The sequence below is a fragment of the Homo sapiens genome, chromosome 5 (genome assembly GCF_000001405.40).
Source record: "Homo sapiens chromosome 5, GRCh38.p14 Primary Assembly".
Taxonomy (NCBI): domain Eukaryota; kingdom Metazoa; phylum Chordata; class Mammalia; order Primates; family Hominidae; genus Homo; species Homo sapiens.
This window is the reverse complement of record NC_000005.10, coordinates 116490714-116508188: the sequence shown is the minus strand read 5'-3', so window position 1 is coordinate 116508188 and position 17475 is coordinate 116490714. Positions and strand designations below refer to the sequence as shown.

Below are 17475 nucleotides of genomic sequence, written 5' to 3'. Positions count from 1 at the left end.
CTTTGTTTCGTCTTCAATCTGGAGTACCTGAAAGCTGGTTTCCTGCCCAATTAGCATTCTGCATGGTTCATTTGGCTCATGGCAACCAATAATCACAACACCATTTGTACATCACAGTTCTGTGATCCAATTTGGGCTTAAAAACTGTAGGGAAAAATTATTGTGAAAAAAAATTTGGGTGTAGAAAGTCAATACAAATTAGTTTCAGATGAACCTAAATAGACCTGACAAATTCACCAAGCAGATGCCTATTAAAATGAAGAATGTTCTTAAGGTTTTCTGTGAATTTGGGGGTTTGGGGCAAATTAGGATTATAACTTTGTAGTAATGGTATGTTTTACAAAGGCCATTTCACTTCAGGCTAAGGAGAGTGAAAGGCTGAGACAAGTAGATGGAAAATTCAGATATAATAGGCTTACTTATGAAGTAAATGTTTTCATTTAGAATCCTTATATTGACAGTCTTCCTTTATCTAATTTTCTGAATAGCTGCTTAAGTCTAAGTTATATTTAGCCTATATAAGCACAGTCACAGACAGGGAAATCGACAAATGTTTGCAGATACCTATAAATATGCTACATGTGGGTAGCACTTTTCAAAGTTTTGAAAGTGACTTAAACAGCCTCTTAAATTGCAGCAACACTGCTCACTCAAGGTTTATAAACTCAGTGTTAAGTTCTGGTTTTTGTTCTCCTGGGCTGGTGCAAGTCTGTATTGCGTCATCTTAGGAATCCTGAGACTCAAGCCTGTGTTCTTTGGATGAGAAATGACAATGTTATGGAATTGGGATCCCTCCGCAAAGTAATCATTTCAACAAGAAAATTTATTGTCTACATATTTACAAGGGTTAGGGCCCAAAATTGAGTAGAAAGGGAATAATACATCAAAACTTCAACTGAAGAAAATTTTAAAGTGTTCATGTGGACTGACCAAGATTAACCAATACTTCCAGAGCACTTTCACCCGTATGATGTACATGTTAACTACCTGATGATATAATGATAGAAAGACATATAAAACAGCTATTTTTCCTGGCAGAGAGCCCTGCTGTAAACCTGGAGATACTTAAATGATGCTGGCTGCAGGGATAGCCAGAATAGCCACTGACTTGCATAACAGATTTCTTCTGCATGCATTGCTCTTCCTGCCAGCTTCTGGGGTTGAGAATTTTGCATTTGACACATGCAATCTTAAGATGGAAAAAATTAAAATTGGGGGATATAATAAAGTAGCAGGACATTGTCTTGTTAGCTTATAGGACATTTGTACAAAGATGAATGCAGTTGTTGAAGGATGGAGACTCGTTTGTCATGTCAAGAAAAATTAAGCCTTAAAAGCATACATACATCTCTAAACATTTCTAAAGGAATGAGAATTAGCCTTTTGAGTTTCCTTTCTTTCATTATATGCTGCAAATTCTCTGAGGCAATATGCTTCTTTATAATACTATTCTTGAGCTCCTGGTAAAAGTTGCCAGTTCTCCCTGACCCCTCCCCCTCCCCCTCCCGCCAGATGCTTTCTCTCCTAAAATCTAACAGCTGACTGGTGTCTTGTTTATGTTTTACTTTTGTTATTTATTTCTGCCCTTTAATGCTGTACTGAACAGGAGCCATGAGAAGCAAATCAGGGCACTTCAGAGCTTCTTTCCTTTGAGTTCAGATTTTCTAGGATAGGAAGAACTGGCAAATAAATGAATGAGTAGACTCTTGCTTTTCACCTGTCTAATAAATACATGTTTATGTCTCTTCATAATGGTTCACCCTTATGAACAAGTAATCATTTAAAGTTTAATTTTAATGTACACATCAGAGATGGAGACATGGAATTGTTTAGGCTTTTCTCTCAATCTGTCTCCCTCTTTGATTTTCAAGATAAAGCAAATTAATTAATGTGCACTTTTCAATTGAAGAAATGATTAAGACCCAGCTGTGTGTGTGAAATTATAAGTTACAGTGCAACACTTGGGACTGATTAATACTTTCTTGGCATGAAGAAAAGAGACATAGGTATATAATCAAAATGGTGTTCCAAAAAGCGTAAGTTAGCAGTTTGCCAAATTAACTTTCAAAGACATCTAGGTTACTAAGTTTGACATTTCTACACACAAATCTTAAATGATTGATGGATTACTGTAAAATAGCTTTGTTCAAAAAAGATAATCTTTGGCAGGTACTTCAAAGAGTTTACTGCTCTGGAAAGATGAAAAGAAATCCTCATTTTACATTAATTTTCATGATAGAGCAATGCTTATTTGCAATATGCCTGAGAATTAAGTGATATTTACTGTATTATGAGTCTTTTTTTTTTTTTCACTGTATCCAGCAGTCCCACATGGGATTGTTTTTATTTCCAAGATTTAGGAGAATTTTTCTGCACATAAAGAGCTTCGTCAAGAAAATACAGATGGGTAGAACAGTATATCTGACATTTTTATTCACTACGATTTCACTGCAAGGAAGTATTGAGACCAAAATATATAGAGATATGACTTTTTAAATCAACAATACCGTTTCAGAATGCAGTTTCAGATTCTCCTTGTAGTAATCTTCAGAGTGTGAAAGGATCTGCCTACTTCTCTTTATAGATTGTGTGATTTTATTTATTTATGCCTAAGTCACTGTAGAATGACATAAGTCAGGGGTGAATATCTCAATTAAGAAGTCAAGCAGGTAATGGAAATTAGTAAACAGGATGAGTTATAGATGTGTGTGTGTGTGTGTGTGTGTGTGCGCGTGCGTGTGTCTGTGTACCTGTGTGTTGGAAGTGGTGCCAAAGGGAAACTGTCATTTAGGTCAGTATGGCAGGTATTTTGATTTTTACAAAGAAGCTGAAAAATCTAGATTAATATCAGAAATCTCCTATTTTTCAATATTGGCAGTCACCTCAAATTTCTGAGTGATTTTGAAGGCAGAGTTTCATGACTGTGAAATAGCCATCTATAAAAGCCTAAAGATGGCTCAGGATAAAGGAACTAAAGCTCTTTGTTCCATATTGGAGAAACTTTGCAAAAGGGCTCAGATGCGTGGGGAAGGAGGTAGCAGTAGGTAACGGGTACAAGTTCCAAACACAAAAATCAACGAATTTACCATGTAGAAGATGTAAAGCAGAAGCCTTTTTTTCTCTCGAATTTATCTTTCAGGGTATTTCATTTTATGGCATTGAACAAAGCTGACTTGGAAAAAAATCTGTTCTTTACTTTTTGGCAGGGTGAAGTAGAGAAATAAAGTCTCCCCGCTGAACTACTATGAGGTCAGAAGCCTTGCTGCTATATTTCACACTGCTACACTTTGCTGGGGCTGGTTTCCCAGAAGATTCTGAGCCAATCAGTATTTCGCATGGCAACTGTAAGTACCCATGGTCTCACTCAGTGTCTCCCTTTGAGAACATTTTAGCCTGAATCAGCCTAGCAAAAAATAAAACTGAAAAATGAAATAGAATAGGTGACTTATTAGTCCTCTGTATGTGGCAAAGGTGGCTAATTCAAGTCTAGTCAAATTGATAGGATGATTTTTCTATAACTCCATCAGATGTTGTTGTGGGGACACGTGTGAGGATTTGAAACGCCCCTCGTAACCCTGATGAAGTCTCAGCTACTACATCGAGGCTGCCGTGTTCATGCCTTAAAATCAGCTCTGTGGGAGAATATCGCTATGATCTGGGTATTGGCAGTATTACTCGCTTTTATATATAATTCATATATCCGGACTGTTGCAAAATATGAACAAAAAGTAATGACCATTTTGGAGTACTTCAGAGAAAAATTTTTTTTGGACTTAGAAGTTACATAGTTAATAGACTTTGGTAAAGAGAAATTAATTTATAGAGGACCCATTTTAACTGTTTATAACTTTCCTTTGGTCTCTGCTTCATTGTCAGGAGTAGATACTAACATGATTAAGAATTCAGCTGTCTCCTCAAAAGAGGAGAGTCCTGCCTATGTGTTGGATGGAACATTCAATTTACCACTTTTTTTTCATGCCCTTCAAAAGGCTTAAGTATTTTATTACAGTAAAAATGTAAGAGAGCATTTTTTTCCTAAATATCTCTTTTCATAGTAATGACCCCAAAACAAACACTGAGTGAGCCATACAAAGGTGTCTAACATTAATATGCAATACTAAGGAGATCCAAATATGCCCAGTGTTCAGCTGTTCTTTCTGGGTTGGAAGAAAATGAGGTAGCAAAACTGACACACAAAACAATTAGAGTCCAGAGTCAAAGGGCATTATTAAGACCAAATGTGTAGTTCAAGTTCATCATTCCTGAAATAGCAGAGTCCACCTAACTCAAGGTTCCAAACTTAATAAACATTTATTTATTTCCATTTGAGGTAAGTTTTCTGTCTTGGATGCCCGAGTATAGAAGGGACTCCAGGGCAGGGCGCGGTGGCTTACGCCTGTAATCCCAGCACTTTGGGAGGCCGAGGTGGGCGGATCATGAGGTCAGAGGATGGAGACCATCCTGGCCAACATGGTGAAAACTGTCTCTACTAAAATACAAAAGAAAAAAAAATCAGCTGGGCATGGTGGTGCATGCCTGTAGTTCCAGCTACAGGAGGCTGAGGCAGCGGAATACCTTGAACTGGGGAGGCGGAGAGTGTAGTAAGCCGAGATCACACCACTGCACTCCAGCCTTATGACAGAGCGAGACTCTGTCTCAAAAAAAAAAAAAGAAGGGACTCCAGCCCAAATGGACTACTGTAAGCCACCCTTCAGTGATCACTCAAATCCATGATCGTAGAGACATTTGAGTTGTTTTAGCAATCTCCTTGATGAATGGGTACATGAAATTTCAAAGCAGTGGAAGGGAAAGCACAAGATTGTCTTATACCAAGCTCCCTTGTAAATAAAATATAGTAAGGCTCCTGATAAGATACCCACTGTGAGTAATGGTCAGATACTACAAGGGTGTAAAGTGAGGGTCGAAGCATAAATCTGTGAATGGTTTTCTAGTCATCATTTACACCCCCACCCCTCTCCAGAAAACAAGTGCCTTTTAAATGTGGCTCATCTTTCTTTCCTCCTGAGTTTGTCTGGAGGCTCGCCAGTGCTCTGGAGATCGTAGGTGTAAAGGCAGAGATGTTGAGATGTAGGTATTTTTAAAGGCCAGATCTCAATACAGATTGGCCACTCTCAGCCAAAGAGAAGTGTAGGAAAAGAGAAATATGCTCATTGACTCACCAAGTCAGGGAAAATTTCAGATCACCTGACTGGCTACACTCAGTTTGACCCTGTCCTGTCAAAGCCCACATCTCTGTGAAATTGTTAGCCAATTGCTTAACTCAAGGGTGAACTTCCCACAGTTCCTAGAATGCCAACCAACCTCTCAGGGGCTGCCTTCAATAGTGGATTATTCCAACTGGACGCCTGTGGAGACTGTATTTTTCTTCTGGCTCCTGGACAAGGGCTCTCGCCTCCAGACCACATTGCATTTGTGGTGATTGATGGGAAGGCTGCTTTGAAATAGTTTTGTCCCGAGACAAGATCTTTGGCAGACTGCCCCCTCAGGCTTAGCTCTACAGAAGATGAAAAGAAAACTGTGGAAGAAAAGAGCACCTTCATGCAAAGGGTTCACTAGCGAGTTGAGCCCTGAGAAAGAGAGACAAATCAAAAATTGTGACACTTAGAAATATAAATCCAGGCTTATAATTATCTAGAAATGAAAGTGTAACTTGATGAACCTTAAGGAGCACTCTTCTATCATATTTCCTAAAATAACAGACTCATATGGAAATGGAAAATGGTGGCATGGTCTGACTTAAACACGGGTTTCTTTTGTGACCTGTCTCCCTCCCCTCCCTACCCTGTCAATTCCTGGCTTGATTTGCTTTTCCTTTCTTGCCCCATCTCCTCTTTTCACAGATACAAAACAGTATCCGGTGTTTGTGGGCCACAAGCCAGGACGGAACACCACACAGAGGCACAGGCTGGACATCCAGATGATTATGATCATGAACGGAACCCTCTACATTGCTGCTAGGTAAGGGGCCTTTTCCCCATGTCTGCCTTGAGAGTGTCCAAAAGCCCAAGGTCCTAAATTTACCAGCTATGCATTATTTTTAAGATCTTGAGGTTTCTAAATAGAGTGTTATTTAACTTAAAGCCTCCTTTAACTTATCAAGCAATCATTATTTCAAAATTGTCTGTGTCTGTTTAACCCTATGTGGATTTAAATAGAAATAATAGCATATTTGGGCACTTACACTCAAATAATCCACTGTTTATCTTGAACATATATGCAAATATTTATTCAAGCACCCATTAGAATGCTCTGCTCCTTAATACTCTGTTTGTTTGTTTGAGATGGAGTTTTCGTTCTTTGTTGCCCAGGCTGGAGTGCAGTGGTGCAATCTCAGCTCACTGAAGCCTCCCTCTCCTGGGTTCAAGCAATTCTCTTGCCTCAGCCTCCCAAGTAGCTGTTGTAACAGGCATGCACCACCACGCCTGGCTAATTTGGTATTTTTAGTAGAGACAGGGTTTCACTATGTTGGTCAGGCTGGTCTTGAACTCCTGACCTCAGGTGATTCACCCACCTCGGCCTCCCAAAGTGCTGGGATTACAGGCATGAACCACTTCATCTGGCCTAATACTTATTTGTTAAATTAAGGTGAATGTGTAAACATGTATTATATAGTGTGAATGTAGGTGTGTGCATTAAACCTATTTGTATTTTTGCAGTTAACATATATATCATTGATAATCTATATCATCACTTTGAAAGAACGGCAATGACAACCAAAGAAAGCATTATATATATTTCAGAAGGTTTTTATTTGGTTTTAGTAAAAAAAAAATACTCATCCATTGGGGAAATGTTATTTAGACAGACAGGCTGATGTCTTAAGGCTGAATGGCATGGTAAGAATACGGCTCAAACAGGGATCACATAAATTTAGGCTTTTGTTATAATTCTGCTCTTAATTTAGCCGGACCACAAGTTGTCTGGCCATAAGTATCCTCTGCCAAATGAGATGTTGTATTTGATTACCTTAATGAAGTCCCTAAGGAGTCCAACAATATATGATCCTCCATTTTGGGAGTGTGTAGCTATTCAAAATAATTCCAAATGAACAGCAACATGGAGCACTATCTTGTAGTGTCCCCTGTGGTCTTTCCTGGCTCTACACTGTTTAATCATTTCACACTGGGGAGAAGAAATGAAGATTATGCTTTTTTTTGAGACAGGGTTTCACTCCCATCGTCCAGGCTGGAGTGCAGTGGCGCGATCTCAGCTCACTGCAACCTCCTCCCCCGCACCAGGGTTAAAGCAATTCTCCTGCCTCAGCCTCCTGAGTAGCTGGGACTACAGGTGCCCGCCACCACGCCCAGCTAATTTTTGTATTTTTAGTAGAGATGGGGTTCCACCATGTTAGCCAGGCTGGTCTCAAACTCCTGACCTTCAAGTGGTCCACCCGCCTCGACCTCTCAAAGTGCCGGAATTACAGGTGTGAGCCACCATGCCCGGTCTAGAATTGGAGATCGTTTCTATCTGGCATAAGGAAAGAACAAGTAAATAACAGTGGTTGATTCTTCTAAAGCACTTAGATGTTCTGAGGTGATAAGCTGTGCAACATAAAGTTAAAAAAAAAAGGGGCTAGACTAAAACATCCTGAAACTGCCCCTAACTTGGCTACAGGAAGCAATGTCCAAATACTTTCCTAAAGTTTTACTTTACAAATACTTATACAGTATATACAACTAGTATGCTCTGCACATACAATTCACAAACATAGCTGTAGATTCTTTATGAATGTCAATTCATCCAATCCTGGAAACAACCCTACAAGAAGGAGCTATTATTATTCCCATGTCTTATAGGAGGAATCCAAGGGACAGATAGGTGAAATGATGGGGCCAAAATGACAGAGGCAGGATTTGAACCAGGATGGTCTCGCTCTAGAGTCCATGCTGTCATTCCCTGTACTATGCTGCATACTGAGGAATAGAGCTGGTACTGTTTGTCCTGAGAATACCCTTGTAATAGCTGTTGCCCAAGAACATGGTCATTATGAGTAGCCATTATAAAGCATTTCCATAAGATGCTCAGTAGTCACCTCTCTGATAGAATACCAGCTCCTTCTTAGATGTCATTTTTATTTTCCTAAACGTAATAGGGTTGGAAAATGACATACTCAATTATCTAAGGGCTGATCAAAACAAATGATAAAACATTGAATCTGTGAGAAATAGGTTGACTTAAGAATCTCTTGTGAATTGTTCACTTTCCAGTTGAGTTTCCGGGGGAAAAAATGGTATAACAGACTGCCCTTGTACTCGATGATTTAGCAGGGCGTGGACCATAGGTCCCAGGGCTACATGAGTGTTAGGAGCAAGGTACTATGCAGACTTAAAAGTGACCATTAGTCTAGCTCATTAAAACCAAGACAGTTTTATTCTAACTCCTCACCCCAAGGAAGGAAAGGAAAAGAAGGATAAAAAGAAGAAACACACTAATATTTGAAACTATCAAATAAGCTCATCTTTACTAAAGGTCAAGTTTGTATCACTGTAGCATTGACATGTTTGTTTTCACACCATACGCAGCCACTTCCTCTCAACAGACAACCTTAGAAAAATTCTTAAAGGAGTTCCATGCCCACCATATTTAGGACCTCTTCTCTCCTTTTAATTTTACACTTTATTTTTACACTTCCAACTTTAATTCACTTTAATTTTACACTTCTCAACATTGCTCTGAGAGATCTAGGTTTCTAGGCAGCAAGTAACACGATTTAAAGCTAAATCCCTCCCCGCACCCCACCCCCCGGCCAACCCCCGCCCGCCCAGGTTCAAGCCATGGCAACACAATTCAGTGGTGCTTGCTGGAGGGGGAAGAGGAAGTCCTAGGATTAAGTCAGTTTATGTTCAAATAACTTAATTCAGGAAGAACAGCATATGAGACCTGGGATGTACACTAAGATGGTTGGGAATGACCCCTGACCCTGGTCTGTGGTTTACCATAAAGCACCATTTTTATTTGCTAGGGCCATGTGAGCTTTTGGATATTGAAAAAGATTGTCATTGTCCAAAAGAAGATTTCATTCACAGAATTCTGTGTTTAAAAGGCTTCCCAGTTCTTCTAGACAATTGCTGTCAGCAATCGCAAGCCAAGTCCCATCCAGAACCCGGGGGACTGAGTGAGGGTTGGTGGCAAGAACCCCTTTCAATTCTGCTTTATTATTATCCACTTTGTAAATTCCTCTTCTTTTTTAATCTCTAAACTGCTAATTAACATAAACAGGCCATGCCAAAAGGGGGCAATCTGAGAGCTTTCTGAGGAGCTGCCAATGCATATTAATCAGTTGTTCATTTACAATTCATATGTTCAGCTCAAACTTAAGTTCTGAGGGGAGGCAGGCAAGGAAAAGCCTCGAGTCATCTCAAACCTGATAGCAAAGTAATAGGCAATTCCATTCCAATAATGAGTCTGACCACAGCACCACCAATAAAGTCAAGCAAGTAATAAACAAATGCAATAAAACTGCCTTGAAATTAAAGGGCAGGGTGATTCTGGCAGCCTACTGAAGTTTGAAGAAACTTGCCTATTCAGCAATTTACAAAACAGGCCCCTACTCCTCCACCCCTTACCACGCCCTTCCACCCCCTTCCACCCCCTCCCCCCATGCACACTCACAGTAGCTGGCAAGGGAATTTTCTAAGCCAACTGCCCTTCCCGCTCGTTTTATATTCACGTGAGTCGGCCTGTTATCTTTCTCTGTTGTATTTTTCCTAAAACAAAAAGCAAACAGATTTCCCATGAACTGAAAAAAATTATATATATGTATATGTGAATCCTGCAAATAATTCCTTTCTTATCACCTCCCCGCTCTTTCTTTTAAGTAACGAGGGGACTTAAAAGTCTGTATGGGAGACGAGGTCCTGGTTTAAAGCTGTGGGTAATTTTTCAGCCCCAGGACTTCCTGCATTTTAGAGAAAGTCAATGTTATTTCAAGGGAAAATGAGCTGTTTTGCTTTCCCTCAGTAGCCCCCCATCTCCTCTGTTGAGTGTAGTTCTTTTCTTTTCTTTCTTACAAATTCCAGACAAAAACGCCCTTGTACTCAGCTCACACAGAAGGGGATGTTTAAATATAGCCCCACACCTGAGCTGCTGATTCTCTTTCTCCCCTTCCAAGGCTAGATTGGCAGCAAATTGTAAAGACAACCCAATTCTCAGCAAAACAGGAAGGTGAACAGAAGCAAGAAATGTAAACTTTAGCTTAAGTACATTTTAGACTTTAATTGACCATCATTATGAGGGAAAAGAGTGGCTTCTGGAAATAATTTTACCTTTGTCGTCATCCATCCTGTCGATCAAATAGTCACAGTTAAGATGGAAATATATTTTCAAAAGAGAGAGGGCGATGGAGATCATTTTTTTTGTTAGCCCTCTTGATGAACAGATGTGGCATGTTGAATACCAAGTATTTGGTACGTGTATTTGAAGATAATGAAAGGGCACACGAATCCATCTGTGTTCTAGTCTTTGGGCCAATTTAACTTTCAGAGCCCTCCCTTCTGAGCTACATATATGCAGATGCTATAGTTCTAGTGTCAGAGAGAAGAGCTAATACAGGAAAGTTTTCATAAACGGTGTTCCTTGGAGCACAATGCCATGATTTATCAGAAGGTGCTAAATGGGATCCGGAGACATCTCTTGAAGGCTGCGCTCTTTTCTTCTTGCATGTGGATATCATGAACATGGATATGGGCTTATCTGCCCTGATAAGACATAACTCATTAAGCAGAAAATGAACTGTTTTGACTCTGTGTTTGACCTTGTATTAATTTTTCTTTGCCTATAGGGACCATATTTATACTGTTGATATAGACACATCACACACGGAAGAAATTTATTGTAGCAAAGTAAGTTGTTTTAAAACTATATTTGTAAAATGAAGGACCTTTGGATAGTTCTTGAACAGAATATGTATTTTAAGTGCATTAAGATGATGTAGCTAATCATAATTTAGAGATGCCAACATGCATTTTGTGAAATCCTAATTAGGGAATAGGTTAGGATTTGATACATGTTCAGAAACAGTTATGTACTTCATATTTTATTCATCAAATATATGTGTACATATACATTTTGAAGTTTTACATAATTTCTACATTTCTTTTATAAAAATATTGCCTCATTTATCCAGGAAAACATCAGTTTTCATAAGTAAAATTTTGTTCCACAAATGTATTCTACAAAGGTTTCAATGTTATATTTCCATGTCTTGCAGTATTAAGTTTGATTTGACTGCTGTGGTTCAGGAACTTGATCGTTACCCATTTCAGACAGACATAAAGTATAACCTAAGCTTTCCTCATAACTCCACATGGGGATATTTTAGTTAATAAAACCTGTGCCATAGGAGTAGAAGATCCCTTCAGTCCATTAATCTATGTGAAGGAGTATAACCTGAATTAAATCTTTGTCCACCTAGAGTGAATGTCCTCTTTATGTTTAAGAAAATGACTTCTGTATTTTAAGAAAAAAGCCTTCTTTATAAAAATTGATTTATCAACTGAAAGGAAAGGGCAAGGACATATATTTTATCCAAATGAGCATAATTTGGCAAATTAATTTGGATAGTTTATGAAAAATTTCCACACTCTTGTTTATTCTTCTTTCTTTTCTCCTTCATCTTTATCTCAAACAGAAGAAGACCATTTTGTGGTTTAATGAATAGATAGGAGTTCAAAATTAAACGGACGTTTTCATCTGGAATCTTTTGTTGTTACGGTGAATTAATCATGGAGAAAGGGTGCAGAAAGCTTTCAATAAATATATGTTCAGCCTTTAGTCTCCCCAAGGGAACTCTTACTTCTAAAATCAAACGCAACAACCTCTGGGCTCTAATTGATTTCTTTCTTGATCCCTGCAGAAACTGACATGGAAATCTAGACAGGCCGATGTAGACACATGCAGAATGAAGGGAAAACATAAGGTAGGCAATTTTCATTTCTCCTGCAGCTGCCACTTTGGGTTAAGTTTTTGACTGTTATCTCCAGCCATAGACCGTGATGTAGAATGGATTGTGCTTTTTCCTTTTTCCCTCAGTAATTGCTTTTTTCATCAACTTACTGAAGGCTTTAATTTGCAAAAATAGTTTGCTTTTAATGTGATGAAACATTACAACAGCTGCTAGGCCTGCATCATGAACTACTTAGGCGCACACAGGATTATGGACACAAAGCCGGCTGCCCAGAGTCTTGTCTTCTGAGTGTACGCCGATGCCCACCTCCGCAGTCCAAGGCCCACAGGGAGTCTGTGGAAGAGCTCATAAAAGGCTGCCGCAGACATGCAGGGTTTTGTGCCTGTGGTCATATAACAACATAAAAACACACTTCAACCAGCAGCTTTGTACATCAGGGAACGCTGGAGCATCTGGCATTAAAATTAATATGATGGGAGGTTGGCATTTCCAGGCTTGCCTTCCTTTTGTGACATAAAATAAACACACAATCTTCCATTCTATGCTTTGTTTTTATTTACGTTGAAAGAGTAATCGTTGATGTCGGCATCATCTTGTGGTTAACATCAGGAAGAACTTGAACTTTTAATGGGAGAAGTCCTCAGCCACCTCCACTTTAACCTTACTGTCAGCCAACCATGGCATACAGTGAAGAATCAGTTTCTGTACTGAATGGACATGATACAAAACAGTTTGAATTATTTTTCAGGATGAGTGCCACAACTTTATTAAAGTTCTTCTAAAGAAAAACGATGATGCATTGTTTGTCTGTGGAACTAATGCCTTCAACCCTTCCTGCAGAAACTATAAGGTAAATGCTATTTGTCGGTTGGAACCACACTGCCAGGAGGCATTTCATAATTTACTGTGATTGTACCTGCAGCAACCTAAGAGGGGTAATTCAACACCACCTGAGTTCCTCTCACTTGTTCAACTTAATGTATTGCTCCACATGAGTGATCCTAAGCAGGCTTCTAAGCTTCCTGTTTGTTCAGGATTGATTGACACATCTTTAAAGAGCCTGCCTAGCAAAGTTAGTTTCTGTAAGACCCTTTTCTCTATTGTTCAGAAGACTGACATACTTACCACGTACACCATGTGGATTTCCTCTATTTTTTTTCTCCCTCCCACCCCACTATCTAACCTCTGAGCACAAAAGCACACTTATATGGTGAGTGATTTCTATTCTAAAAGGTATCTCAAAAGCACGGCATTTGAAACCGTAGACTTTCCTACAAGAACACAGGAATTTAATTCCATTGAGCACTCAGCTTTCTTGACCACGGCCTTGCTTACTTTGGCTTTATGCAAGGGCTGGAAAAAGCCCTCTTAAAGAGTTAGTAAATCTAGCTGGTTTTGATGCAGCTAACAGAGGTGCTGATGAAGGAGCAGGGACCTCGCCAGGCCTGGAAGCAGAGGTGGCAGTGATCTGAGGTCTTGGCTGCACCACTGTTAGCCTTCCTTGTACATCTTTCTGCCAGCCTTTGTCTCAGGAAACATGTACTGTGTTTCTACTGTGGCCCATCGCTGAGGTTGTAAAGACAGACAGGAGGCCTCAACCCTTAGGGAAGCCAGGCAGGGAGAAGAAAACAACAATTTCATGGGGTTGCTGCCATGGTGACATCATGCAATGGATTATGGAAGCACAACACAAAAGTTCCTGCCATGCATGAGGTGAGGAGTCTGGGAAAGCTTCAGAGGATGACCCCGTGTCTTCAAACTTTCCTACCTGTTGTTCCCACATCGGGAACACAAATACCACCGCCCTTAAGAAACACAGGCTCTACAAGGGCAGGGATCACATCTGTGATTCTCCAGAACCTAACATAGTGCCTCCCAAACAGGCGTTTAATTAATTTTTGTAAAGCACTGAATGAGGCAATGCCTAACCTTTGTCTTAAAGGGTAAGGAGAAGTTAGCCAAATGAAGGAAGAAAAGCATTCCAGTTAGCAGGGAACAGCATGAACAAAGGCATGGAGTAAGAAATGGCCTATTGAGCTTGAGAAATCTCATTTGATTCTGAATTGTGTGACTGTGAAATGACAAGTGTTAACAGAAAAAACTGGAGATGTAGATAGCCCCAGGGATGAAGGGAAGAGAATAGATAAAACCAAACCGGTAGGATTTAATAATAGATAAGCACAGGATAAAGAGAGAGAGAGGTGAGTCAAGAATGACTGCTAGGCCATCTCTTGGCGAGTAGATGGATGGGGCTGCCACCAATTCAGACAGGAAATAAAGGAAGAGTTGTGAGATTGGGGTTGGGGGTTGGGGGAGTGTGAAGGTATGGGCTCCATTTTGCACAGTATGAGAATGCCAAGCACTGTGAACGGCACTGCCTATAGGACATGAATAGAGCTATCTAGCAAGAAGATGGATCAGTAAGCTTTGGTTTAGAGACAGATGTGGAGAGAAATATAGATTTGGGTTTCATCATCATAAAGTGAAACCCTAGGAGTGGGAAGAATGAGAAAAGCAATGATAGGCTGGAATCCGCACCAACAAGCTCACCAGAAAAACCCCCTGTCTTTTTTTGGCATGTACAGTGAAGGGAGGGTCTGTTTGACCCTCATACTTATCTTCCATCTTACACTTGGAAATGGGCACCAACAGGGCCAGGATTAGGGTGGAGCAAGTGAGGCATGTGGCTCAGGCACAAAATAGAAGGGTTCACCAAAAAATTCCGTAATTAAGATGTTAGATTTTTAATGCAATATTTTTTAAAAATCAAAATTAATTAATACATACAGGTCTGTCATAAACCAAAGATCAAGTTTTTAAGTATAAAGACAAGATTCATCAGTTTATAATAGAGGTAGCCAGTCTAGCCCAGCATTTACTCTAGCTAGTGACAGCATACAGATAAGGTTTCAACTTTAATTTACCACTTAATATTCCATCCCTGTTTGTCATTGTTTAGGACTCATTAAGATTAATGCTTCTAACAAATCCCAAGGAATTCCCTAGATGGAAAGCTATCTTTTATGACAAAGTACAGGTTTTCTTGGCACAGTAATATACAGGCCATGAATGGTCTGGCTTATTCTTCCTGTACATGTTCCATTTCCCATGATTCTACACTTATAATAATGCCGTCACCTCTTGCTTGTTCTTGCCACACCTGCTGAGACATGCTCCAGTAGCCCAGGCCTCTCAGAAGCCACAGATGGGATGTTGCTCATGCTCAGTTCCCAACAATATGCCTAGCGCTGTGAATGGTAGTAAGAACCCTTGGCATTGCTCAGAAAAGTGTATTTTTAGACTCAGGGGACAGTGTGACATTGCTGATGATATGGGACATAATGTATTTGGCTGCAGGGAAAACGACAGCTTCTGTCTTAAGTGCTTTTTATCAACAGATCAGGACAAAGGTTCAAAGTGAAAACAATGACCAGTCTTCCAGTGAAAAACCCAAGTCTTATCATAGCACACAAGCATCAAGTTGATTAGAGTGACATGAAGCAAGAGAGTGACAAATTTTCAGTATCTGCCTCTCTACCATGCCCTGATCTATATTAATTTTTATAACACAAGTAAGCTGAATGTGTTAGAAAGGTTATAGCCCCAAATTAGATTATCAAGATTATCTAGGGGAGAGCTTTGAAGGCTACCCACTATAAATCTAAAAGTGCACTCCCTGCCTTTTTCCTCCTATTCTCTAAACCTTTTGAACTTCTGCAAAAATCAGGCTGGGTCTTTGTATAATTATCTGTACCTGATAGCTGTTTAACTTCCCAGGAGCTGCTGCTGTGAAGTCTAAGATTTGATGACTGCTTCAAGGGTTAGTTTTCACTTCTTGGAAAGAGGAAGTCACCATGGCTTTTGCCTCTGGACCTTTCCAACCTCACAAACCGAAACATTTGTACTTCACTACTTCTTGCCTTTGACCAGCTATAGGTATAGCCACTTTTTTTTTTTTTTTAGGTTAGTTACATTATAAAGAAAACCATATACCCCTTGTCTATTGTTTCCTCCTTGCTAGGATTAGAGCGTGCACAGCTTAGGATAAGGGCATTTCCGTTGCATCACTGTGTGCTAAGCATCATTTTTGAATACATGCCAGACCCACAGACCACAGAGTCTGTCAGAGTTCAACAAAAAGCTCTTGGTTGGTATAAAATATCTGAAAAGGACTTTCATAAAAAAATGTGCTGGGTGGAAGAGTACACTGCTTGAAAGAATGTCTGATTTGACCATCTTTCCCCTAAAAATATGTTTTTAACACAGCTATTTTATGTGATTCTCAACTACAGTTTAAAAGTGGCTTCAACAGGGTCCATCTCAAAGTGATTACAGATTACAAAAGGCCTGTCACATCCTGGAAATTATTTCTGAGGGTTTAGGGCAAAAGAAAAGGTTGTTGTTTGTAATTAAGTCTGATTATTTCATTTAGATGGATACATTGGAACCATTCGGGGATGAATTCAGCGGAATGGCCAGATGCCCATATGATGCCAAACATGCCAACGTTGCACTGTTTGCAGGTAAGCGACCTGATTTCTCCTCGTTGCACTTGCTTTTGCTTGTTTCATCCTGTCACTGTGAATCTGCTCTAGAGGATTCGTGGAGTCACAGTTGTGCTTTGATTCTCTGGTGAATACTGTAATTAAGAATGCCTTTCTGTTTGAAATTAGTATGAAAATTGTACTTTTGCAAGTCTTTGCTTCACTTACCCATGTGTTTGTGCCTTCAGGAAAGGATAACAGCATAGCGCTGAACATGTGATGGATCAGTTAGGGAATGTTTGGGCTCAAATAATAGAAAATCCCACCTCAAACCACCAATGTAAAAAAAAAAAATTAAATTTAAAATCCCCTACTGATGTGCCTTTATTGTTTAAGGTAGGATGGACTTTGGGATTGGCTAGGTTCAACAACTCAACAGTGTCATCCGGGAGGCAGCTCCTTTTCATTCCCATGCTCTATGTCGACCTCATGATGAGACTGGTGGTTCTCACAGTCAGAGGATGACTGCCAGCCCCAATTAGGGCTACATGTCTTCCTGTCCACATATAGAAAAGAAAGGGAAAGAAACAAAAGGAAGCCTCTGGAAGCTCTCTCAGAGCAATGAGGCCACATACCCCCAAGCTTCCAACAAACATCTTCTCAAATATCATTGACCTGATTAGGTTACACACCCATCTCTGACCAAAAGACTATGGTGGGTGAGGGGAGGGTGCTAATTGCTTAGGCTGACCTCTACTCCCCAACACTACTCCTTCTTTCCACTGCAAAAGATATAAAGAAATAGCAAACAGACCATCATTTTCAGATGTAGTGGGATTTTTGTGTATGAGTTTGTGTGCTTTAATTAGAAATTTATTTAGGAATTCATTACCAGCTGTGTATGTGGAGGTGGGTGTAAGAGAAGTGTTGGTATAATAGTGATTCTTATAGCTTGTAATAAAGCAGTTAGCTATAATTTCCATCACAACAGCTAAAAACTGGCACATACTAGCTGGATGAGGGACCCTAGGGCTTTGATTATGAAACAAGATTAGTTCCTGGCTT

General features: G+C 39.8%; 1 protein-coding gene across 8 annotated transcripts in view; it reads left to right on the top strand.

Moving 5' to 3' along the window:
• The window catches only part of SEMA6A (semaphorin 6A), a 131269-nt gene that overhangs the window by 66635 nt on the left and 47159 nt on the right, over positions 1–17475 (top strand). For 7 of the 8 annotated variants that reach the window (XM_005272042.5, NM_020796.5, XM_006714663.3 and 4 more), the window contains exons 2-7: positions 3207–3344; positions 5862–5979; positions 10802–10862; positions 11876–11938; positions 12675–12776; positions 16359–16449. In XM_005272042.5, the coding sequence (XP_005272099.2) occupies positions 3245–3344; positions 5862–5979; positions 10802–10862; positions 11876–11938; positions 12675–12776; positions 16359–16449 (535 nt within the window). In that variant the 5' untranslated portion in view covers positions 3207–3244. The other variant, XM_047417452.1, reaches the window with a different exon arrangement.